Source organism: Homo sapiens, chromosome 20 (genome assembly GCF_000001405.40).
Source record: "Homo sapiens chromosome 20, GRCh38.p14 Primary Assembly".
NCBI lineage: Eukaryota > Metazoa > Chordata > Mammalia > Primates > Hominidae > Homo > Homo sapiens.
This window is the reverse complement of record NC_000020.11, coordinates 59,800,062-59,824,347: the sequence shown is the minus strand read 5'-3', so window position 1 is coordinate 59,824,347 and position 24,286 is coordinate 59,800,062. Positions and strand designations below refer to the sequence as shown.

The 24,286-nt window shown below is 49.5% G+C and overlaps 1 protein-coding gene across 13 annotated transcripts in view; it reads right to left on the bottom strand.

The window, feature by feature from the left end:
• PHACTR3 (phosphatase and actin regulator 3) overlaps positions 1-24,286 on the bottom strand; it is a 270,203-nt gene that overhangs the window by 23,364 nt on the left and 222,553 nt on the right. For all 13 annotated transcript variants that reach the window (NM_001199505.1, XM_017027628.2, XM_017027626.3 and 10 more), the window contains one exon: positions 18,154-18,307. In NM_001199505.1, coding sequence (NP_001186434.1) covers positions 18,154-18,307 — 154 coding nt within the window. The remainder of the gene's footprint in view (positions 1-18,153; positions 18,308-24,286) is intronic.

The window sequence follows — 24,286 nt, the reverse complement described above, 5'->3', positions numbered from 1 at the left end:
GGAGAGAGGCTGTGAGTGAGAGACTGAGTGCAATCTTACATCTGCTCATGAGCTTTCTGCCAACCTTGAATCTGTGAGGGTCAATTTGATGTGTCAACCTGAATGGTATGGGGGGTGGGGTCCCAGTCCCCAGTTACTCAACCAAACACTCCTCTAGGTGCTGCTGTGACGGCGTCTGGTAGATGTGACCAAGGGCCGTGATCAGCTGACTTTAAGTCAAGGAGAGTGTCCTGGCTGAAATGGGTGGGCCTGATCTGATCAGTGGGAAGGCCTTAGATACCGGTTGAGGCTTCTTGAAGCAGAAATCCTTCAGTGGCTCCAGCCATGCTGGGCATCCCGTGCTGACTTCGTGGCCTCCCTGTTGATTTCAGAACTGCCTGGCCACACCAGCTGAGCTGTGCATGGATCAGGAACTGGTTGCTTCTGTTCCCAAACCTATTTGTACCAGGTGTACTTGTCTCTGTAATAAATGTAATTAAGCTTTTAATGCACATTGATTAAATGATCTCATATGGGTGTAAAATGAAAATGTAAATTCCATGAAAACTAAGCTTTGGAGTCAGTAGAGGCAAGTTGCTAAAAATACCACTGTGCAGTTTGCGTGGGAGAGAGAAGTGAGATCTGGGGAGGTGGGGCCTTAAAACTCTGGAAGGATTCTGCACTGAGATTGCTTCCAAGTGCCTTTAAATACTCACTCCTCTCCAAAGAAACTGTCAGTGGAACTTGGAGGAGACACATCCAGCCTTTGTTTAGAGCAAAAATAACTTAAGTTGGTAGATCCTTCCTCAAAGAAATGTCCTTGGATTCTACCTCAAAGTGACGGCCAAACAAGTGACATCTGTATGGTTTAAAATTGTGTTTAAAGCATGAACAAATCATGCTTATGATCTCTTCTTTCAAATGGCTTTTTGAGTAGTCACCTGGGGCTGAGCACTGAGGACAGGTCTTTACCTCCCTCCAGAGACTGATGCCGAGCGAAGGATCTACCGCAGGTTCCAGCTCACCCCGAGCTGGGCACAGCACATGGGAGGTAATATCTGCAGATTACTGTTCTGGGCGTTAGGACTCCTATAAAGACCCACTTCTGAATGATCACAAATGGCCCCGTGGACAGTGGCTGACTCCGGACAGATGGATGAGGTGGGAGTGAGAAGTACCGTTTTATTTTTTACCATGTATATAAGTCCCTTCTTCAAATTTTGAAAATGGAAAGAATACGTAATGCTCCCCACTGCCTGCTCCCAGGGCTAAGATCCTTTGGGGTCCATTCCACAGGCACCAATGGAGCACCTGCCAGGTACCAGGGCCTGCCTTGCCCTCCAGCTCCTTCCGCTTTCCTCCTTGGACGCTGAGCATTGTCTGCCTCTGATCTTTTGCTCGGGCAGGGCCCCTGCCAGCCCTTCCCCTCCCCATCTCCATCTCTGGGCTTCCAGGGTCACTCCCATGCACTCCTCCCTGTGGCTTCCCAGGGTCCCAGACCTGAACAGCCCGCCGCTCTCCAGGATTCACCTGCCCTGGCGGCTGTTCCACTGGGCACATCCTGTGACTCCCATCCCCCACTCCTAGTGAGGCTGGGAGCTGGAGGCAGGGTCTTGCCCAGCACGGGGCCCGAGCCACACGGTAGGTGCCCGTCAGGCTGACTGAACGAGCCGAGTCAGAGAGAAACCAAATCCATCTGAAAGTGTCCTTGATTTAAGAAAAGACAGGCGCACCTCATCTGCAGACCACACCATTTCCACCGGACCCAGACCTTCATCAGCAATGGCACTGAGGTGCACCAGCGCCCACCAGCCCAGGAGGGGATGCTGGAAGCCACCTGAGTGGAACACGGTCACTCTGCACTGCAGCCCTTCCCGTGTCTAGCCATAGCCACATATTCCACATGTGCCACACACATGTTCACCTGACCTCCCCTCCCCCACGCCTGCTGGTGGAATGGAAGCTTCGGAAGGCAGCCCCCGCATCTGCTTTGTTCTTCCCCCCATCCTAGGCCCAGTGCGGAGAGTGGCACACAGAGGCTGTTCAGGAAACATCTGTTGCTGAACTAAAATATTGGGGAGGGGGTGGGATCACTGCGGAGGGGGTGGGATCACTGTGGGGAGGGGGTGGGATGGCAGGGGAGGGGGTGGGATGGCTGCGGAGGGGGTGGGATGGCTGCGGAGGGGGTGGGATCGCTGCGGAAGGGGTGGGATCGCTGCGGAGGGGGTGGGATCGCTGCGGAGGGGGTGGGATCGCTGCGGAGGGGGTGGGATCGCTGGAGAAGGGGTGGGATCGTTGCGGGGCGGATCGCTGGGGAAGGGGTGGGATCGCTGGGGAAGGGGTGGGATCGCTGGGGAAGGGGTGGGATTGCTGGGGAAGGGGTGGGATCGCTGCAGAAAGGGTAGGATTGCTGGGGAGGGGGTAGCTGTGTTTGTCCACATCACTCTCAGCGCCTCTCAGGGTTCCTCTTTCCCTCCTCCTCCTCAACTTCCTGCCAGCTGCTCACCTCCCTGGCCCAGTGTGGGAGGGTCAGGAATGGGGCATTTTTAAATTCCCCGGCGGTGCTCTCCAAGCCCATAGGGATCCACATGCACTCCTCAAACCAGGCTGCTCCAGAAATCACTTAGAAATCATTGCTACCTAACAGACAGAATGCTTTCCATTCACTCATCCATCTCTTCATTTGTTGCTTCTTTTCTTCCTTTAATGTAACAAAATTAACTTGAACACCTAAAGCAGCAGAAGCCGCGAGTTTCCTACCCCATCTCCCTTCTCCCCTTCTTATGCCTGAATGCTGGTCCTATTCAGAGCAGTCTCTTTTCCAGCTGACCACGGCCACATGAGGAGGGTCCAACCAAGGAGCAGTAGGTAGATGTGTGTGGAGGAGCTTCTGGGAGGAGCCCTCTGGAAAAGCTGACTCAGCTGAGATGTATGCCCCTTTGGGACTTGAATATGATGTCTGGTGCCTTTGCAGCCACCCTGGACCATGGAGGATCAACACCGGCATAAGGGTAAATAGCAGGAAGGTAAGAGGAGTCTGCGTCCTTGTTGATTTTGGAACAACCATGCCAGTCCTGACCGCCTGTGCAACTATTCCAGGGAGTGGGGTGGCTCTAACGTGCGGTCTGGAGTCGGCCCACCTGGGTCACATCTCAGCTCCACTAGCTTACTAGCTGTGTGACTTTGAGCATCTTACCCAATCTCTCTGGGCCTCCATTTCCTTAGCTGCTAAGAACATCCAATAATAGCATTTACGTCTTATGTTTATATGAATGCAGGCAAACACCACCCCTCATACATAACATGGGTTTCATACATGTTAGTGAGCTATGGTTGTGCTCTTATTACCATGACTACTACTCACACACGCTAAGCCCCGATCCTGGGTGAAGCAGGACTGTGTGGTATTTAGTCCCTGCAAGCATCTGAGCAGGCAGACATCACACACCCATTTCAAGGCTTGGACTCACCATGTGACTTCCCTGGGCTCACTCAGCCCATGGCTCTCAGCCAGGCAGCCTCCAAGTCCACCAAACCACCTGCTCCCTGGTTTGGGAATCATGTTTTATTGACACTGAATGGGGGTTGATGTTGTTTTGCATTTTCTTACAAAACATGCTGTACCATCCTCTACAGATTCCCAAGCAACCAAGGAAAACAAACAGCAGCTGACCCTCCCTGGAGCCCTCAGCAGGGACAGGGCCACTTCATATTGACACTGCACAGAAGGGGCCTGAGCCTCTCCCCTGCACAGGATGGGACTCGGGACCCACTCCCTGTACCCTGCATGCCACACACAGATGGGCTTTCCCTCCCTGTACACGGGGACTTCCACCCAAGACGATGAAGCGTCATATTTATATCCTCTGGGGCTGAGATTTGCCAGTTTAAACTTGTCCCAATTTGGAAGCTGTGTGTTCTGTTGCTTAGCTACCTCCATCTAAAAGCAGAACGTACAAGATCCATACATGATAGCCACCATTTTGCCTGATCCGTGCTGGCCTTGCCTGCCCCGGCCTTTGCAGGACTACCAGGCCCCTCCCTTTAGGGCTGAGGTTGATTTCTGCCCACAATACCACACAGAGCCTGCTCACAGCACTGCCTCGTGAGCTCCTTCGCATTTTTGCAACAAATCCTTGAAAGTGCCCTCATAAATCTTGGTGGTCTTCTTGACCTTGGAGGCTCTGCAGTGTTCACAGGCAGACCCCTCACCACAGTGGTGAAGCAGGAGGTGGTGCCACGCCAAGAGCTCAGGAAGGTGCATCTGTGCAGAACAGACCTGATCTCCACTTGCCCTGAGATTTCTAAACAAAGAGAGACCGGAAGCCCCAGCAACGGTCCCCCTGGAGGGCTGGGAAAGTCAGTCGGATAAATCTGCAGCATCAAAAAAAGGAAGAAAATCATAAATTGCTAAATGCCAACAGCTTCTGTTCTTGGGATCTCGGAATCCAAAGAAGGCTATAGATGGCAGAGCCCTGCATGCCTCAGCTGACGTGTGGCCAGTACCGGTACAGCACCGGCCCAACCAGGTGCCTCAGTTGATGGGTGGCCAGTACCGGGACAGCACCGGCCCAGCCAGGTGCCTCAGCTGACGGGTGGCCAGTACCGGGACAGCACCGGCCCAATCAGGTGCCTCAGTTGACGGGTGGCCAGTACTGGGACAGCACTGGCCCAACCAGGTGCCTCAGTTGACGGGTGGCCAGTACTGGGACAGCACCGGCCCAACCAGGCCACACACGGGGGTGGCAACCTGAGCTGGACCTGTGGGATCTGCAGGGTCCCGGCTCAGACTCACCTTCCCACCATTTTGTTTTCTTTTTTTTTTTTTTTTTAACGACAGGGTCTCAATCTGTTGCCCGGGCTGGAGTGCAATGGCACCATCATAGTTCACTGCAGCCTCTAACTCCTAGGCTCAAGCCATCCTCTCTCCCTCCTGAGCCTCCCAAGTAGCTGAGATCACAGGTGTGCACCACCATGCCTAGCTGTTTTTAAATTTCTATTTTTTGTAGAGATGGAGTCTGGCTGTGTTGCCCAGGCTGATCTGGAAAATAGCAGGAAGATAAGAGGGAGGTGCCTCAGTCCCGTGGGCAGTTGGTGACTCAGGCACCTTCCTCTTATCTGCCTGTGGGCACCCAGGTCTGGTGACCAGCCTGGGCAACACAGCAAGTGATCCTGGACTCAAGCGATTCTCCTGCCTCGGCTTCCCAAAGTTCTGGGATTGCGGGAATGAGCCACTGCGCCCAGCCCCCACCATTCTCAAGAGTCCTCTTCACTCCAGGCACGATCAGACTCAGCAGAGGCTCCGGAACCTGCTTTAGATGTGGGCTTCATTCCCTTCATAGGCCAAGCCCCCAGACGTCAAGGGGATTGAGAGCCCAAGTTCCCCGAGTGTCTCCTAGGGAGCAAAGATGGGGCAAATTCGTGATTATGGAAATGATGAAAATGATGATGAGGATAAAAATGTTGACAAAGTTGTTGCTAAAGATGATGGAAAGATAATGAGGAAGAAAAAGATGAAAATGACAAAGATGATGATAAACAAGCAGTGAAGGTGATGATAGTGATGAAGATAAAATGATGACAATGAAAAGATGCCGAAGCAGAAGAAAAGGATCTGAAGAAGATCAAGTTGGTGAAGCAAAGGGAATGGTGACACCAATAACTGGTCATGTTTAGGAGATGCCTTCCCATGCAGTTTCCCCTTCGTCCCTGCAGCAGTAGCTGCAAAATCACCGAGTACCCACAGGACTCAGTACCATTCTAGGGACTGGAGATACAGCTGAGAGGGAGAGGCTTCTTTTTGGAGTGAGGAAAATATCTTAAAATCGATTGTGCTGATGGAAATACAACTCTATGAGTATGTTGGAAGCCCTGAATTGGACACTTAAAGTGCGTGAAGCATGTGGTGTGTGAATTATGTCTCAACAAAGCTGTTAAAACTGAAAGAGACAAATTCCCTATCCTCATGGAACTCAGATTTCTTCCTTTTCTTCCTGGAGAGCTTCCTCTCTGCCAGGCATGATTCCAGGCATTCTACGTGTGACGGCTCATTGCATCCTTCCCGTGGCCCCAAAAGACAGGCTCTGTTGTAGTCACATCCCTTTTACAGAGGAGGAAAGTAAGGCGCATGTCAGGAGGTGACTTCCCCATGCCCACATGCTGGAAAACTGCAGAGCTGGCTGGGAACCGAGGCATTCTGTCCATCCTGACTTCTCAGCGGTGCACTGTGCGGCTTCCTTAGAGCAAGGGTGGAGCTGAGAGGGCCGCACACAAGGGCCCCCTCACATATGCGAGGAAGGAGACAGGTTCGCTGAGGCTCCCTAGGATACTGACAGTGGTAGCCCTGGAGGCTTCCGCTGCTGACAGTCACTTTACAGGATGACCCATTTATTTTCCCTGCTAACTCAAGAGTTGAAAATCCCCTTAACCTCAGTGTAAAGAAACATGTACTTCTCCCAATACAAGTGCATAAGTGACTTCACATCAGAGGTGGCCAGTGGGTGGTCCCGGGCCAAATCTGGTCCACAAATATGTTTTCTGGGTGCACACATTGCTTTTAAAAATAGGAAGAGGCTCTCAACATTTACATGAAGGCTATTTCACCAAAAAAATCAAATCTTCGGTTTCTCTTGGAAATTCTGGCCACAATGGCCTGACATGTGGCCAGGGGTGATGGCCCACAGGATCTGAGTGACAGCTGCCCTCTTGAGCAAGAGTGCACACTCCCCAGGATGCCACAGCCCTGCCTGGCCCAGGTCACTTATGGAGCATTTGGGTCTGTGACTTCTACTCTGTTGAATGAGCTGTGAAGACACCATCCCCCACCCGCCTCCTGTGGCGAGTCATGGGTTAATACTATTGGTCTTACTCATTCCGATAAAGCTTTCTCTCCTATTCCTCCTGACAAGTGCTCAGAAAGCTTTAGGAGTAGCTTGTTTCCACCAGAGACTTCCTTCCAGTGAGGGTGAAGTGGAGGCTTCTGGAGTATCCTCACCTGAGGGCCTAAGGACCTGCAGCTCAGAAATAGCCCAGGCTGGTCAGCAGCCAGACGGCAGTGGTGTCGCCAGAAGCGTATGCAGACCCTGGCCTGGAGACAGCACAGAACCAGTCTCCAAAATTGGCAATGGCCACTGAGGTCCTGAGGGCTCACACTATTCACAAATACACTTCTGAATAGGTTGGTTATAATCAATGTAGTAAATGGAATCATTGCTTAAATGTATCCAAAGAGCCCACTATGCAAAGAGAGATATTCATTCAATAAACACTTATTGTACTGAACTAAACTCTTATTTTATTGAAATAAACTCTTAGGAAATTCCATCTAACCCACTGTGCGTGCTGAGACAGTTGCATGGATGGATGGACAGATATTAGGGTACATCAAGCACAGTGAATAGGATGCCATTTAGTTCAACAATGTCTCCATTCACCTCCTCATCCATCTAACTACACAACATCCCACCACTTATCCACCCATCTACCTATTCATCCAGCTGTCTCTCCATCTACCTATACTCATGCATCTTATAATGCAATTACCCCAGCAGCCATTAACCTGTTCAATCATCCCACCATCCAGATGGCCATCCATCTAACTACCCAACCACCCACCTATCCAATCATACAATCATCCATCTATCCATCTAACCAACCATCCATTCAACAGTAATTAGCTGGGAGCCTACTGTGTACCAGGCACTGAGGATAAAACATTGAAGAAGTTTCTTCCTTCCTTAAAGGAAAGTCTACTGCCTAGGTGGAGGATAATTTGAACCAGAGGATGGCCATGGATGAGTTCCAGGGAGTTGTGAAATAGGCTAAGGAAAAGGACTTTGAGCTGGAAAGACTCAGGTTCATGTCCTCACTCAGCTACTCACTGGCTACTAACAATTCTGAGCCTCCATTTCCTCACATGCAAAGTGGAGGCTGTGAGGCCTATCACACAGGAAGGAAATACTGTCATGGACCCAGAGTCCCCAGCGTGCAGACTGCTCTAGAACAGGGGTCCCAACCCCAGTACCCATCTGGGGCAACCTAGCCTATTAGGAACCTGGCCACACAGCAGGAGGTGAGTAGTGGCGAGCAAGCATTACTGCCTTAGCTCCACCTCCTGTCAGATCAGCAGCAGCATTCGATTCTCAGCAGATTGTGAACTACGCATATGAGGGATCTGGGTTGCACACTTCTTATGAGAATCTAATGCCTGATGATCCATCCCTGTTTCCCATCACCTCCAGATGGGACCATCTAGTTGCAGGAAAACAAGCTCAGGGCTCCCACTGATTCTATATTACAGTGAGTTGTATAATAACTTCATTATATATTACAATGTAATAATAATAGAGATAAACTGTACAATAAAGGTAATGTGCTTGAATCATCCCAAAACCATCCTCCTCCCTGGTCCATGGAAAAACTGTCTTCCATGAAACTGGTTCCTGGTACAAAAATGGATGGGGACTGCTGCTCTAGACAATGGTGGCTATGCAAGGAGAAATTCCCACAACCATAGGAGATGTTTGCACACCTGACATGCTTAAAACTCTCATCCAGTTCGCAGACCCATGATCCATAAAGATAAATGATCACAAGCCTCATCGCCTGTTTTGCAACCTTGGGGTTCACTATAAAACAGGAAACCCAAGCCAGGCGTGGTGGCTTACGCCTGCAATCCCAGCACTTTGGGAGGCCAAGGCAGGCGGATCATGAGGTCAAGAGATCAAGACCATCCTGGCCAACATGGTGAAACACTGTTTCTACTAAAAATACAAAAGTTAGCTGGGCATGGTGGTGCACACCTGTAATCCCAGCTAATTGGGAGGCTGAGGCAGGAGAATCGCTTGAACCCAGAAGGCAGAGGTTACAGTGAGCCGAGATCACGCCACTGCACTCCAGCCTGGAGACAGAGTGAGAGTCCATCTCAAAAAAAAAAACAAAAAAAAAAAAACCAGAACCCCAAGTACAGCTGAGTCTTTCCTGCCACAACTGCATTTCTTTTGGCTGAAGATGCCCAGCTGTTGGCATTTTGATCAAGAACGATCCTGGGTATGATGAGTTCCTTGTTCGTCTCTGCATTTACCTTCTTTCTGGTGATCCCTTTGGAAATTGTCCCACTGGCAATTTCAGAGACTGAGCAGACAAATGTGCTTTTGAATATCAGGAAGCCAAATTCCCCCCGATGAGGTCCCTCCTCATGTGTACACCACACTGGGAGAACAGTCTGGGCTTTGCTCCTTGAAGACTGTTCATTAACAAGAACCCTCTTCGAGTCGAGGGTTCCCTGAACTTCCCAGTCCAGCCTGGGTCCACAGGGACAGTCCCAAGGTCTGGCTTGTGAGATGTCTCACCTCTGAAGTCGGGGAACTCAGCCCCCAACTCCCTTCTCAGCAATATGAGGGAATCTCACCCTCCCCCCACCTCCTGTTTGATCCAAACAGAAGCCCTTTACCCTTGATGTACCCAACCTAAAACCCCAAATTATTCAGCAAGGCCCAACCGCGGAGGCCCCACAGGCTTCAGAACAAGAAAAAATGGGTTTCCAGACCCCAGTGTCTTCAGATTGTGCTTTTAAAAAAAGCTTAACACTGCTCCATTCCCGAGAGACAGATAGGGCTTATTTCACTGGAACACACAGAAGCCTGTTGTGGTTCCTGGCGGTCAGTGAAAAACAACCACTCCCTTCTGTCCAAGTGTGTGAAACTGGAGGGAAGATAGTGTAGAAGAAAATGGACCAAGGATAACAGGAAGTACAGGACCGTATAAAACACCACGACGGGCTCTGAATACCCTCGACCTCAGCTGAGATCAGCAAGTCCAGCATGGACCGGGCAGTCTCCCGTTCCAGTCCCTGTGCTCCTTGGGCAGTCTCACCTGCACAAGTGGATGGAAGCACTGCCAAAAACCCCAGGCACCTGACGGCATAGGGACCCTTTGGACATATAACCTTTCCCCTGTGTCTGCCTGCCTTCTTCCTGGATTCCCTCTCCACCATTGCAGATCCACCCACCCCTAGGCTGGCAGGCCCTCCTCCCTCAGCCACAGGCCTGCCGTTCATCCTCACCAGCTCTGCCGTCCTCTCTGCAGCCCCGCGTCCCCAGGATGGTGCTGGCTCCTGGGCCTGTAGCATGTGAGAAACCCTTGTCTCCCCACCCAGCTCTAGCCTTGCTCTCCCAAACCAGCCCTGCACTGCAGCAGAGGGGCGTTTCCCAGACATGCCCTCGCTCCTGACCCCCAGGGAGCCCTGGCTGCTTCTCGGGAGAGCCAGGCCTCCTCATCTGCCATTTCCCACCAGCTTAGCCAGCGCCTCCTTGGTGGGCAAGGCCCTCACAGAAGAGCAGAGCAGGGCCCCGCCACGCCAGTGGGCACACCCTGAAGAGGCGAACAGAACAGATGAGTAAACGGCACTTTCAGCAGCTGTGGAAGTGGCTAAAAACACAGCAGGGGACGATGTGACACAGGGTAATGGCGAGGCTGTGCCACTGGGAGATGGTCAGGAAGGTGACATCTGAGCTGAGCCCAGAATGACAAGAGGAGGTCTGTGTGGATTGGGAACCCATAGCGGGCAGCACAGGAGCCTCCACCACCTGGACCCATGGCCCCTCCAGTCTTCTCCCTCTGCCCTGCCACCCTCACCCAGCCCTGAACCTTCTCAGCCCCCAGGGTAGTCCTGGGAAGGCGGTGCTGCTTCCCACCTTCGAGCTCTCACTGGCTGGTCTGCCTGGGACACCCTCACCCTCCCTCCTGAAGCTGGTCCACACATCTATCTCTGTACATCTTTCACCAGACACAATAATTTATCACCTGTGAGTGCATCTTTTCATCTCTGCACCCCAGCGCCTAGCACGTGCACGCTACATGAATTCGAAATCTCTGTAATTGGGGGGTAAGCACCCCAAGAGATGGGCAATGACATTGGATGTGACAGGATCAACTGGGCCCGTTCTGCAGGTGCAGCCTCCCCCTGTAGGTAATTTCAAATGCTACCTTCCATCCCAGCAGCCATGGATTAACCCTGAGGCAGAAGGCAAACTTTGCAGCCTTTTCAGGGCGGCAATGATAACTGTGACAAGAGAAACCGTCAGCGCTTGCGGCAGCTCAGCCCTGCTCCGGGAGTGACCCATGTCAGGTGTGTTCGCTCCTCAGTGAGGGTCTTGGGGAAGGTAGTAAGATCCATGAAGGAGCCTGTGTGCAGCACCCACACCATACCGAGCACAGAACTTCAGGGTTGCAGACATCAGCGGGCAAAGGACTCAGCCCAGTGAACGTGGACCATAACCACCTCATTAACACAAACATTCACCGGAAACTGGCCTTTAGCTATAGTGTATCATCAGCTTCCCGGCCCTGTCCACAAGGTGTGAGCCGGATGCTTGGCCTCAGGCAGCAAGGCTCAGTGGCTGGGAGCGAGGGCCCTGGAGCCCACAGCCTGGCCATTCATGAACTGTGAGACCCAGGGACACTGCTTAGCCTCTCTGCCCAGTCTCCTCATCTGCAGAGCAGGGATGATGGTCCCTGCTCGGCATCACAGGCAATCAGCACTGCACCTGCCCAGCGTCACGGCAGACCCTCTCAGATGCTATTAGTGGTGTCATTATGAAGGCTGGCATTGGAAGCTGATTCCTCCCCCGCTTCCACGTGTCTGAAATTTACCAAACACCATTTCTGTGGAAGTGAAAATTTCCGTCCATGCAGTTTCAGGTAAAAGCTCACAGCAGAACGAAGGCCCCATTGAGACAGGCTGGTCCCCTGGCTGGCCAGGCACGGTTTCCGCCTTGCAGCCCAAACCACAGCCTCTGCGGGGACACTGTCTGTCTCCACATTTCTGTGCGTTCTGTCTCCAGGACCAAAAATAGGCCTGCCTTGCCTAAAGCACATCTAGAGGAGGGAGCGTCTAAACTCGCTGCACGCTGTGTCCTGCTCCTGCAGACAGAGCAGGAGTGGGAGGCCACAGCCCGGGAGGACACCTGAGGGTGCAGCGTGTTCTGGAGGCCACAGGACAAAACGTGCAGAGAAGCCACTCAGAGATCCGCTAACTGCTGTATGAACATGCTAAGTGCCCCCTCCTGAAAGATGCTACTGAGCATTAATCAGCTTCTCACACACGTTCCTGGGAGCAAAGAACGCCCCAAGGGGAATGACAGTTTGTGCATGACTTAGGAGGTGCCTACCCTATTCCTCTCTCTTCGGGCAAAATTACACAACAGTCACGAATGGGAATGACACTCAAGCCCCATCAACAGCAATGCTCCTGCACTCCCTGGCCCACTAGCATCGTGACCGCTGTTCATGCAGCAGCATTCATTTCATCCTGCCACAAGGCCTGCTGCTGGCCTCTGCCCCGTGCAGGTGACAGCTCGCCCAGGAGTGCATCCAGCCTTGACTGTGACAGCAGCAGCTCTGGCCCCAGCACCCCCTGCTGAGAATGTGCTTTTATGACTTTCTTCAGGGACCAATGTGGAATCTTCCAGAGGGCCCTGAGGCAGGTATTGCCACCATCCCCATTTCACAAACAAGGAGAGAGATTCTGAGACACTGGTGCTGGCCTATCTCACGCAGCTGAGACAAAGACGGCTGGGGCTCTAGCCTGCTTGCTGCACTGTTCCAGAGCCCTTGCTGGGCAGTGTCTCTTTCTATATGTTCCCCCTGAGGATGTCCAACCCCCCACTGCTCCATGCTGTGTTGACAGTCTGCACTGCCACCACCCCCAACCCCCCTGTCTTTGCCCTGTTGCCCAGGCTGGAGTACAATAGCATGATCTTGGCTCACTGCAAACTCTGCCTCCCAGGTTCAAGCGATTCTCCTGCCTCAGCCTCCTGAGTAGCTTGGACTACAGGCACCTGCCACCACGCCTGGCTAATTTTTGTATTTTCAGTAGAGACGAGGTTTCACCATATTGGCCAGGCTGGTCTCGAACTCCTGACCTCAAGTGATCTGCCTGCCTCAGCCTCCCAAAGTGCTGGGATTACAGGCATGAGCCACCGGACCCGGCCAACATTCTGCACTGCTTTAGAGCAAGTGTGAAGTCCTTTGCCCGAGACACCTGGTGCATTGCCCAGTTGCCAGCTGATACCCTGATCAAAGCCAAACCAATATAAGAAAATTCAAAGCCATGCCTAAGATAAACAAGGAGCCACAGTGCTTTCGTGTCTAGAATGCTTCTCCCAGGCCCAGGGCTAGGGCTCTAACAAATGGCCTATCTCACTGCACGGCAGCTTCTGCAAGCTACGTGGCCCTGGGCCAGTTACCTTCTCACCAAGGCTTAATTTTCTCATCTGTAAAATGGAGATGATAGTACCACCTGCTTTACTGGGTTACTGTGAAGACTAGATAAATGAAAGAAAGTAAGGCAGACGTCAAGCACATCGCCGGCACCTATGCTGAAAGCCGGCAGCAGGTGCTTCCCACTGCTCTCCTTAGATGGTGGCTGTAGACAGGATGGAGGCAAAACAGCCCGTGCCTCTGTGCATAATTTCCAGTGCACACCTACCGTGCAGGAGCTGCGGGCCTCTCATACTCTGCTGATGCATCCACACAGGTTTTAAAGGTAAGCTGAGCTCCTACACAGAGAGGGGTGAAAATCAGCATAGAGCTTCACTCTTTCAAATGGGACCCTGACTTTCCTGGGGGTCCCAGACCAAGCACACGGATGTGTTCTGGGGTAGCCGTGGGGAGCAGTGACTGCTTCACCAGGAAAAGGCCCAGGAACACTCAGAAGATAAAATATGAAGGTTCTGGAAATTAAAAAAAGGAAATCGCAAATGTTCTTTGGGATACAGTAGATGGCACGTTGCCATGGCAACCAGAGGCTGAATTACTTAGCAAGAGACGGTGGAGGAATCTCTGAAAGGAGGCAGAGCAGAGACAAAGGGAGACCAATTAAGCCACTGCTGTAGGGAAAACAAATGGCGCCTCCAGGAAGCCATGTCTGACCTCCTGGGATGCTGCTACTCCGCTGCTGTTTTCTCTGTGTCTAATTCCAGGTTTTTAAACATGGTGACAAATAGCAGGGAGCTACTACATTCCAGTCCAAGGTTTAAAATTAGTTCCAGATTCAGTAAGTAATGGAGTAAAAACAAGCCACAGGGCCCATGTTTTTGGTACTTCTTACATAGGGGGGCGTTTGGGGTATCCCCGGCAGCCCAACCTTCTCCCAACTTCCTCTCAACCTTCACAGTCGGCGGTGGGGACCCCAGGCATCTCTCATTCCAAGCCCCACCATAATTTTTGTTGTTTTTTGAACCACATGTACTATCTTCCATTACTTACCTTTTTTTTTGTTGTTTAGATCAATTCACTTAGTATTTTAATTTGAAAGAACTTGGTTTGACTATCAAATAGAAAACCATTATTAACTGGTACAGGTAAAGGCAACCGCAAATAACAGAAGTGAATAAAATTCTGATGACCTCTAGGCTGGGGAGGATTTTTAAACACGGTACAAATAGTGCGAACCATAAAGCACATCAGGGGTCAGCAAAGTGCCAGCTGGACCCAATGGACCGCTGGCTATTTTTGTAAATAAAGTTTTATTGACACACAGCCATGCCCCTTCATCCTCAGATTGTCTACAGCTACTTCATCACTACAGCGCCTGAACTGAGTAGGGGTGGCGGGGACAGCCTGGCTCACAAACCTCAAAGTACTGACAACTTGGTCCTCACAGAAAAAGGCTGTGAGCTCCTCAAGTTTATGATCAGCAATCTGACAGCCTTAAAAATCAAAACTTTTGTGCCTCAAAGAAAAGTATTTTAAAACTGAAAATACAAGCCCCAGAGAGAAGAATCATGTAACTCAAAATGGGGAAGGATTAGAAGCTACATCTTCAAAAGTAAACTCCTAAAAATCATTAAGATAAAGAAAACTTCAGGCAAAGTACATAAAGAAGAAACCAAAAAGCTGATAAACGCTGAAAATAATGCTCAACCTCACCAGAAATCAGAGAAACAGGAAACCAAGCCTTAGGAACACACGTCCCATCACTGAGACTTGCAGAAATGAAAGCCTGGGATGACGACACCACGATGCAGAGGCCGAGCGGCAGGGCTGTCCCAACCGCTGGTAGAAATGCAACCTGCACCTGCGCCCCAAGCACAACTCTGTAACACCTGGAAGGGTAGGACCTCGTGCTCTATCCACAGCCCCACCCCGGGCCGGCCTCACCTGCTTACGTTCACGGCCCTCCACCGTGAAAACACTCAAGTAAGGATTTTGGTGGGAGTTGGGAACACTGGGGCTCAAGCTCCCCAGCGGAGACCAGAAACAACCCTTCCTCGAAATGAAAAGCCCCACTGCTCAGAGGAAAATCTGCCCAGAGCGGGAGTCCAACATTCAGATCATGGATTCTCACCCGGGGAGCGTTCTGTTGTCTCTGACCTCAGGGGACGTTGGGCGGTGTCTGGGACACGTTTGGTGGTCAGAAGCGGAGGGTGTACTACTAGTATCTAGTGGAAGGCGGGAGGAATGCTGCTAACACACTACACACACGGGACGGCCCCTCCACGGAGAACGATCTGGGCCCAAACATCAATGGTTCCCTGGCTGGGGACCCTGCTGTAGACCCTCGCTTCTCAAAGTGTGGCCTGCAGCCCAGCAGCGAGCAGTGTCGGCAGCCCTAGAAGCTTGCTAGAAATGCAGATTCTCAGGCCTCCCTGCACCTGCAGCATCAGAACCTGCATTTTCCCAGGGTCTCCAGTGACTCAGGGGCCTGGGGACAGCAAGGGTGCAGAGCAAACCAACAGAGGCACTGGCGCTCCGGGAGCTGGTTCCCCTCACCCCTGGGGCACTGTCTCTCCCTCCAGGGAAGGGTTGGCTTTTGAGGTTTAAAGAGGGAAGGAGCGGACTAGGGGCTGTCCAGGGCACTGTCTACCAAGCCCAGCCCTACACAGACTGACTCACACCTCACAGGGTGGGCAGGAGATGTGGACTGTGGCTCCTGGGACGGTGCACCTGAGCTTTATCAGAATTTCCTCTCCTACCGCACACGAGACACGTTAGCCTGCCATCTGGCCTGGTGAAAGGGGAAACAGAGGCCCACCCTGCCAGAATGGCATGACTTTCCTCTGAAAGCCCACCGATGCCTGCTCAGTGGCTCTTGGCACCTTTGGGCAGTGTCCGTGGGCGCAAACTGGGGTACGCAGCAAGCTCCGAGGGGTTCTGAACTCCAGTGGCTCTGGAATGTGGAAAGCAACTAGGGAGGTGCCCGATCCTGGAAAGCCACACAAGTCAGCTCCACCCGGCTCATGGTAGCCTTGCCTTCCAAAAGAAGGCCCCCATTCTGTCTCAGGGGCATGACTGGATCCCTTCAGACCTCAACCAGCAAGACGCAGCAGCTCCACTCTGTCCTGCCCCATGAGACAGTCCAACTCCAGCCCAGCAGACAGCAGGGACCACCCAGGGAAACTTATGGGGGTGCAACACAGAAGGTGCCCACCCGTGGCTCTGGGTCACAGCCAGACGGCAGATGGGTGGACTTGGTGCACATATTGTCCAGAAAATGATGCGTATGTGGATATACCTGTATGTGTATATATGCACAGACATGCACCTCATGACATTTCAATGATACACGACATATACGACACATATAAGATAGTTGTCCCAGAAGATGAAAATGGAGCTGTAAAATTCCTTATGCCTCGTGACATTGTTGCTGTCATATGACATCGTGGTGTAAGGCGTTCCTAACGTGTGTGGCGATGCTGGTGTGAAAAAACCTACTGTGCTGCCAAGGCCTCTCAAAGTCTAGTGCGTGTAACCGTGCAGTACATCACACGTGATCATGATATGAAAGGACTATGTTACTGCTGTATGTAGTCACTATAATTTTAATGATTATTTTAGAGTGTACTCCTACTTATTAAAAAAAAGTTAACTGTAAAGCAGCCTCCAGCAGGTCCCTCAGAAGGAATCCAGAAGGCACTGTTCTCATAGGAGATGACAGCTCTACGCATGTTACTGCCCCTGAAGATCTTCCAGTGGGACAAGCTGTGGAGGAGGAAGATGACAGTGATTGATGGTTCTGACCCTGTGCAGGCCTAGGCTAATGCGGCATTTGTGTTTTAATTTTTAATAAAACATTTAAAAAGTTAAAAAATTGAAAAATATAAAAAGCTTGTAGAATAAGGGTAAAGAGAAATTACTTTTATACAGCTGTATAATTTGTGTTTTGTGCTAAGTGTTATTATAAGAGTCCGAAAGTTAAAGTTTATCCAGTAAAAAGTTACTATTAAAGAAAAAAAAAGTTTATGTAAATTTAGCGTAGCCTAAGTGTGCAGTGATTCTGAAGTCTGCGGAGGTGCACGGTCGCGTGCTAGCCTTCCCGTTCACTCACTGCTCACTCGGGACTCACCCAGAGCAACTTCCAGGCCTGCAAGCTCCATTCATGGTAAGTGCTCTATACAGAGGTGACATTTTGTATTTTGTATGTCATATTTTTACTGTACCTTTTCTATGTTGAGAAATGTTTCTATACCATAACGTGCTAGAATTGCCTACAGTATATGGTAGAGTCATGTGCTGTACGGGTTTGTAGCCTCGGAGCCATCAGCTACAGCGTGGAGCCAGGCGTGCTGCAGACCGCGCCCTCTGGGTTTGTGTAGTGCGCTCTGTGATGTTCCCACAACAACAAAATCTCCTAATGACGCATTTCTCAGAATGTATCCTGTCATTAAGTGACACGTGACTGCATAACTGTGTGTATGTGGGTGGGGGGGTAGCTTTACTTGACAAATTTAGAAGATCTGGCAACACTGGATCCACCTTCTTGCAGGAAAATGATCAGATAGAGGTGAACAGAGACTGCCCCTGTCTCTAACACTGACAAGCCATGTCCTCATCAGTTTGGCCCAGTCCTTGCCTGGCTGCTACAGGCCAGTGGAGCAATTCACCCTCCAGGAGGCATTTGATGATGTCCAGGGACAGTTTTGATTGTCACGGGAGGTGTAGTGTGTAGAGGCCGAGAATGCCGCTAAACATCTGAGCATGCACGGGACAGCCCCCACAGGAAAGGGCCTCCACACGGCCCCAAACGTCAACGGTGGCGGGGTCAAGAGACCTGCTGCAGACGGTGGGTTGTGCGTCCCGGCCTGGCACACCCAGGATGTGGGATCTCAGAGGGGCTCCGCCTGCAAGGCCAGAGCACAGGCCCGGCTGTGCCCGCAAGCTGCCACTTACTTGGAAAGCTTCATCTCGATCTGCTGCCGGATCTCCTGTCTTTCTTCATCAGTCCTTCTGGGGAAAATGTTCCGGTCTTCTAGTTCCTGTTTGCTTGGCCGGTTCCTTAGCTTCACGGCCAGGAGCTCCTTCTTGCATTTCCGTGGCAGTGTTCCTAAAAGCCCCATCCAGGGCAAGAGGAGAGAAGGGAACAAAGGAGACAGGTCTTAGCGGAGGGCTGGCTTGTCAATGGAGCCGCCCACCTGCCAGAGGAAGGACTCCAGACCAGGGTGATGGTGGCTAGAACTGAGAGGACACACGCTCGCCAGCTTGCGGCACTTTCCAGTGGAACAGTGGGCAACACAGGGGTAAGGTGATGTCACCATCTCTGTCCGCTAAGCCCCCTACTCATGGGTTTCCAGGTACAGTCCCGGCTGACACCTGCTGTCCCAGATGATTACTAATAGCACCTACATTTTTCTTTCAAAAACGTCTGAGTTTGGACCAAAAATGACACAGTGACTTTCCCCATGGTGGCCACTGCCCCCACCCAGCTCCACATGGTCCCTGCACTTTCTCCCTGCCCACTGTCCCCCCAGCCACATGGCTCTTCCTTCAGTTTCTAGATATCCCACGCTAGGGTCTCCATGTCATCTCCTTCCTCTGCCTACCGCACAGCCTTGCCAGGACCATCCAGGGTTGGACCCAGGTCCTCAGAAACCCTCTGAGCCTTCAATCACCACCACTCCACTTATCTTAATTCCCCCCAACCAACTGATATCTTTTCAGTTTGTTTACCATCTGTCTCCTGCAGAGACTTTAAGTGACAGCCTTTCCCCCACCCGCCCATGTCCTAGCAGGGTGTGGAGATGGCAGATCATTGGTGAATACTGTTGCGTGAACTTAACGGTGGGCTGACTCCAGGTCTGCTAGGCCAGCCCTTGTGTTCTATGTGTGTCTGGAATCAGCTGAGTGAAGTTAACAGCATGAGAGGAAGGTATTAGGGAATGGAATGTTTATATTTACTTAGGAGCAGAGATGGGGTTTAGCTCTTTCGCAGGCAGAGTGTCATTCCTTAGTGCACTAGGAAATGTGGGTGCTAGTTAATTCAGCTTTCCGAACAGCACAGTCCCCACCTGCCCTGCCACTGCAGATGCTGCTGCCTGCAAGTAACTCCAGAGTATCTACATGCGATGTAGGTTGCAGTTTTGCAGTCTGTGGTTTTGCAGTTTTTTTGGGCCGGGATTTAATTCCTGGGGGCTCAAGTTGTTATCCAATATGATCACTTCCATAGATGAAGGCAGGTTTTATTTCTTAAGAAACATGGTACCTAAAAGGAAGTCAACTCCTAGTGTGGAGGCGGGAATAGAAAGCAAGAAAGTCAGTTGAACAACATGGTCGTTTCACAGAAGTTTGGGATAAAGTAAGATACAAAAAGTGGAACTCAGCCAAGTCTTGAATTTCTAACATGCGATTGTTTGCCATGTGTTTTAGAGAGAAAACAACTCTGAAAATCATTTCAGCAAGGGCTCAGGCCCCACTTTGTTTTAATAGCTTTATAAATGACTGCAGTCTTGTATTTATAGTCTCCTCAGGAGCCTGGAGGAGTTGCAGGCATTTTTCAGTTGGCCTTTACTGCATGTTATGAGAGAGACTGAATGCGACGGTGACATTCATGAATGCAGGAAGTCTCAAAGGTCTCGGGACAGATTCCTTCATAATGCTAAGGGACTAATACAGGAAAAGGAACTGCCATTTTCAGAGAACTATGGTATGCTTAAACATAAAACTATACTGAACGTGGTTTAATCTTTTCAGCTTTTGATGAACCAAGTCCTTAAGCCCATTGCAAATGTCTCAGGCTTATCATCACATACTTTCAATCGTATTTGCTCTTAACCGAGAAAAAGTTCCCTTCTTTGCAGATTTCTAGACATAAATGAAAACTCACTCTGTGTGAAATCTGTGCTAGGAGCAAGTCATTCTCATTTACTTATTAATCCGGCCTCTATGAACACAGCAAGGATACACAGTAGGACCACAACAAAAACTTACAGATCTGACTGATCTTCACCAAGGTATCAGAAGGTTACCAGGTTTTGCTACTTAAAAGCCAAAAGAGGAAATTTCCAAAAGACATAGCTTAAAATGAGGACTTTTCATGGATTTGAGTGACCCTTCTACCCACTGATTGAATTAATCTAAATGAGCATGCCTTCCCAGAGCAGGCTGCCTAGCACTGAGCAGGAGGTAGAAGCTGAGAAACAGGTGCAGGGACGGACGGAGAGCTTTCAGTCTAGATTGTGTGACAGACATCACCCTCCCCAAATGCCCCCAAACACGCTTACTTTCTCATCCTAACCTTTGATCTGGAAATCCCACTTCTAGGAGTCTGTCTCCTAAAATGATTGGGACAAACACATAAAAAGTACATGAAAGGATGTTCATCCCGGACTTTTTCATAAAAGTAAGAAATTGAACACAACGTAAACATCCAGTCAGAGGATGCCTGTTAAATTACGATGCATCTGTTCCATCTGAATATTGTGTACCTATTAAAAATGGTGGCGTATATGTTACGGAATGACAAAAGATAGTCACTATATATTGCTAAGGAAAGCAAATGACAGAAAGTATGCATATTATATGCCAAAATATATATGTGTATGTGTCCAATTTTGTAAATATATATTAAAATAAATTGGCAAATAAAAGCCAAGAATTGATCATTTTACTTAATTTTGGTTACTGTATTTTATTTTTTATATAGTTTCCTTATAAAAAAAGAAGTCATTGCTTAGAAAGAACATTGTTAGGTAACATCACAGAAAATGACAAAAAAAAAATCTCTCCTTTGTAAAAGCAAAGAGAAAACTGGCAAAAAAAGATTGCAGTCAATTTTTTCACAATTCTTGAAATTAACCACATGTTTACAGCAAAACAAGGAATGTTTATTCCAGAAAAATTGGTGGAATTTTGAGAAGAATGTTTCACCTTTTCCAGTCCTGTGCCCCATTCTTCAACTCTGCAGTAGTCTTGACATGTGACAGTCTGCATTTGTAGTGAAGACCAGCTGCCTGGCAGCCACCGAGGGAAAAGAACAGGGCTAGAGCTCTTCAAAGACTCATTCCCCCCAAACTGTCATCATTTGACCCATCTTGTGTTCCCTGAAACACCACTTTTGCAAGGCTGTCTGTATTGGACCTGATCCAGAGCTCACCCAGTGCAAAAGGCCTTTTTCTCAAGGGGGTTTGAAAATAATACAGCATTGTCTTTCCAAGTACACAACTTTCATTTATCTTCAGACCAGTCCTGCTCAGTAATACCCTATGGAACTCTTTATTGGCAAAACTCAATAAACATCCATGCATTGTGCAAGAAATTAAACTAAAAAGTAAAACCCTGATATTACCAGCTCTAGTCCAACTCCAGCAAATGTGGTGGGCGGGGGCATCGTTCCAATCACAACTGACAGGGCTTAGGAGGAAGGATGGGCAAATGCCGGCTCCTTCTCTCCGGATACCAGAGTGGCACAGATAGCTGCTAAGTGGCACCGCTCTCAGCTCCACCTCACCAAGCAGGAACTGCCTTCCACGCTCCCTGCACACAGACACAAACGTGTGGGGCTCAGGACATTCCCCTAGCCCCGGTCTCATCAGGTCCCATCTTCCATCCCAGTGGAGCAAAGGATGCTCAGGAGAATCCCAGACTCTGTACTCAAGCACACAGAAGCATGGACACCATCGGTCACTCCCTTCTTTGTGAAAGGCTCTCTTCTCTCTCCTTGCAGGTCTCTGCCCTAGCCTGCTATCCTCCTGCCTCAATGATTATGTCTCAGTTTACTTTGCTGGCTCTTCATCATCTCCCCTACCTCCAGAGGTGGATGTGCCCAGGACCCAATCCTCAAACCCCTTCACTCTCTGTCCACATTTGCTTCCTATATGACCTCCTGTGTCCCATGACACTAAGAACCAACTGCTACTGGCTCGAGATTTCCATCTCCAGACACCACCTCCCTCCTGAACTCCAGGCTTGCACATTCAGCTTTCTTCACCATGCTTCCCCCAGATCTCTAGCAGGCATCCCAAACTTAGCACGTCCAAAACTAAGTAGGACCTCCTGCTCTCCTGTCGAAGCACAGAGTGGTTAAGAAGCAGAACCAGGATGTAAACCAAGGCCTGACTCCAGCGACCACACTCCCAGCCTGACATTCGTGGCTCTGCTCAGTTCAATAAGGCACCTGTCCATAATGGACCTATTCCATACCTGGCACTGAAGAGCAAAGATGAGGAAGATGCCACACGTCTCGCTAAGCTTGGTCAGGTGAGGGAAGGAAAGGTAAAACCGGCATTTATCATGTTCTCAAGCACATTATGTGTGTTTCTATTTGTGCACTGTCACAACATATCCTAATTATTTGTGTGGCTTTTTCCCTGACCATAGTCATTATATGAGCTTAAAACATTTTCACTCCATGGAGAAAAACAAATATGATGAGTTTATCTACAGCGAGGATTATACCTTGTTCATTGTTGCCATATACAAACTCAAAAGCTGCGGAGTGATCTGGTGCAAGAGGAACAAATAAGCCACATGAGGAAGGTAGTGTGCCAGAAAGGGACTTCTGAAGGAAGTAGCGTCTGAGCTGAAGCCTAAAAATAAGTGGGGTTCCCATCTGGGGACACCCAATAGCAGAGCCTAACTTTATTCTCTAGAAGGAATGTGTTGTGAAAACTTGTCTGAGTCTTCAAAGTAAAAAGCTATGACATTAACTTCTGCTTCTGACCAAGGTGGACAAACATGGACTGAATTGTCTTCCTCACTCAAACCTCAAACACAAAGTCAAAATGTATAAAACCGTAGTTTTCAACGTGCTAGAAATCAGCAACAGAAGACAGTGATTCTTGAAAAATGAGAATCAAATGGAGTAGGCCCATGACTGGCCAGCTACTGCCTCTAGAGAGTTGCCAGGCCACAATCCAGGGAGGGGGAATCCAGGAAGAGCCTGGAAAACTCCCAGAGTTGAGAATATGAACCTGAGAGGCCAAGGGGATCAGGGCAGCCAGAGTTAGCGTGAAAGAGACCTGGAGAGGAGAGAGTTGCATAGTAAGAAGATCCAAAGATCTGCAGAGGGTCCCTTGAACCCTCAGTGGATTAATATGTGACTCTGAGGAAAGAATCCTCTGAAATGATGAGATAGCAGTGCCCGGTGCACACATGGCACTAGACGGAGGGCCGGTTCCCATCAGCCAGACAGAAAACTTCATGGTGTACAGACATTGAATAGAGTACACGGGGTTCTGCCTCTGGAATGGGAGTTAGCTGTTGAGCTAACTCAATAATTGAGCACTGCTCTGGTTCTATCTAACAAATGTTAAAGCAAAACCTGGCATGAATTAGACTATTTTCAAGTAACTTAACTGCTTCCCAGAACAAAACTCAAGAGTATTTATAGGAATACAAAAAACATCCAACACCCAAGAAGGTAAAATTCACATGTGTCATCCAATAAAAAATTACCATGCCTGCAAAGAAGCAGGAAAAGGCTCAGTGAACTTTATGCATGAAACATAAAGAAAACTGTGTCTGGGCCATGGTAATCAAAATCTATAACCATGAGAAAATATTAAAAGTGTACAGAAATAAAAAGACATTATCTGTATTCACTGTATAGAGTAACAAAGAGAATGACAGCAGATGTCTCAAGAGAAACAATGTGGATGACAAGACAGTGGAGCAACAATTACAAAGTAATGAAAGAAAAAAAACCCCAGACAACTCGGAATTCCATACTTGGAAAAACTATCTTTCAAAATAAAGACAAAATAAGTACCTTCTTGGACATAAAAAAGCTGGAAGATTTCATCACCAGCAGACCTGCATTATAAGAAATGACAAAGGAAATCCTTTAGGCAAAAGGAAGATGATAGCCAATAGAAACCTGAATCTATACCAAGGAAAGAAGAGTAATAGAAATGGTAACCACAAGTGTAAATATATAATTGTTTTCTTATTATTTATCTTTAAAAGAAAACTGACTTTGATACTAAAAATAAAGTAGTATGAGGTTTATAACATGAGTGGAATGGACAACAACAATAGAACAAATGTTGGGAAAGGAGAACAGAAGTATACTCTGGTGAGGTCATGAGAC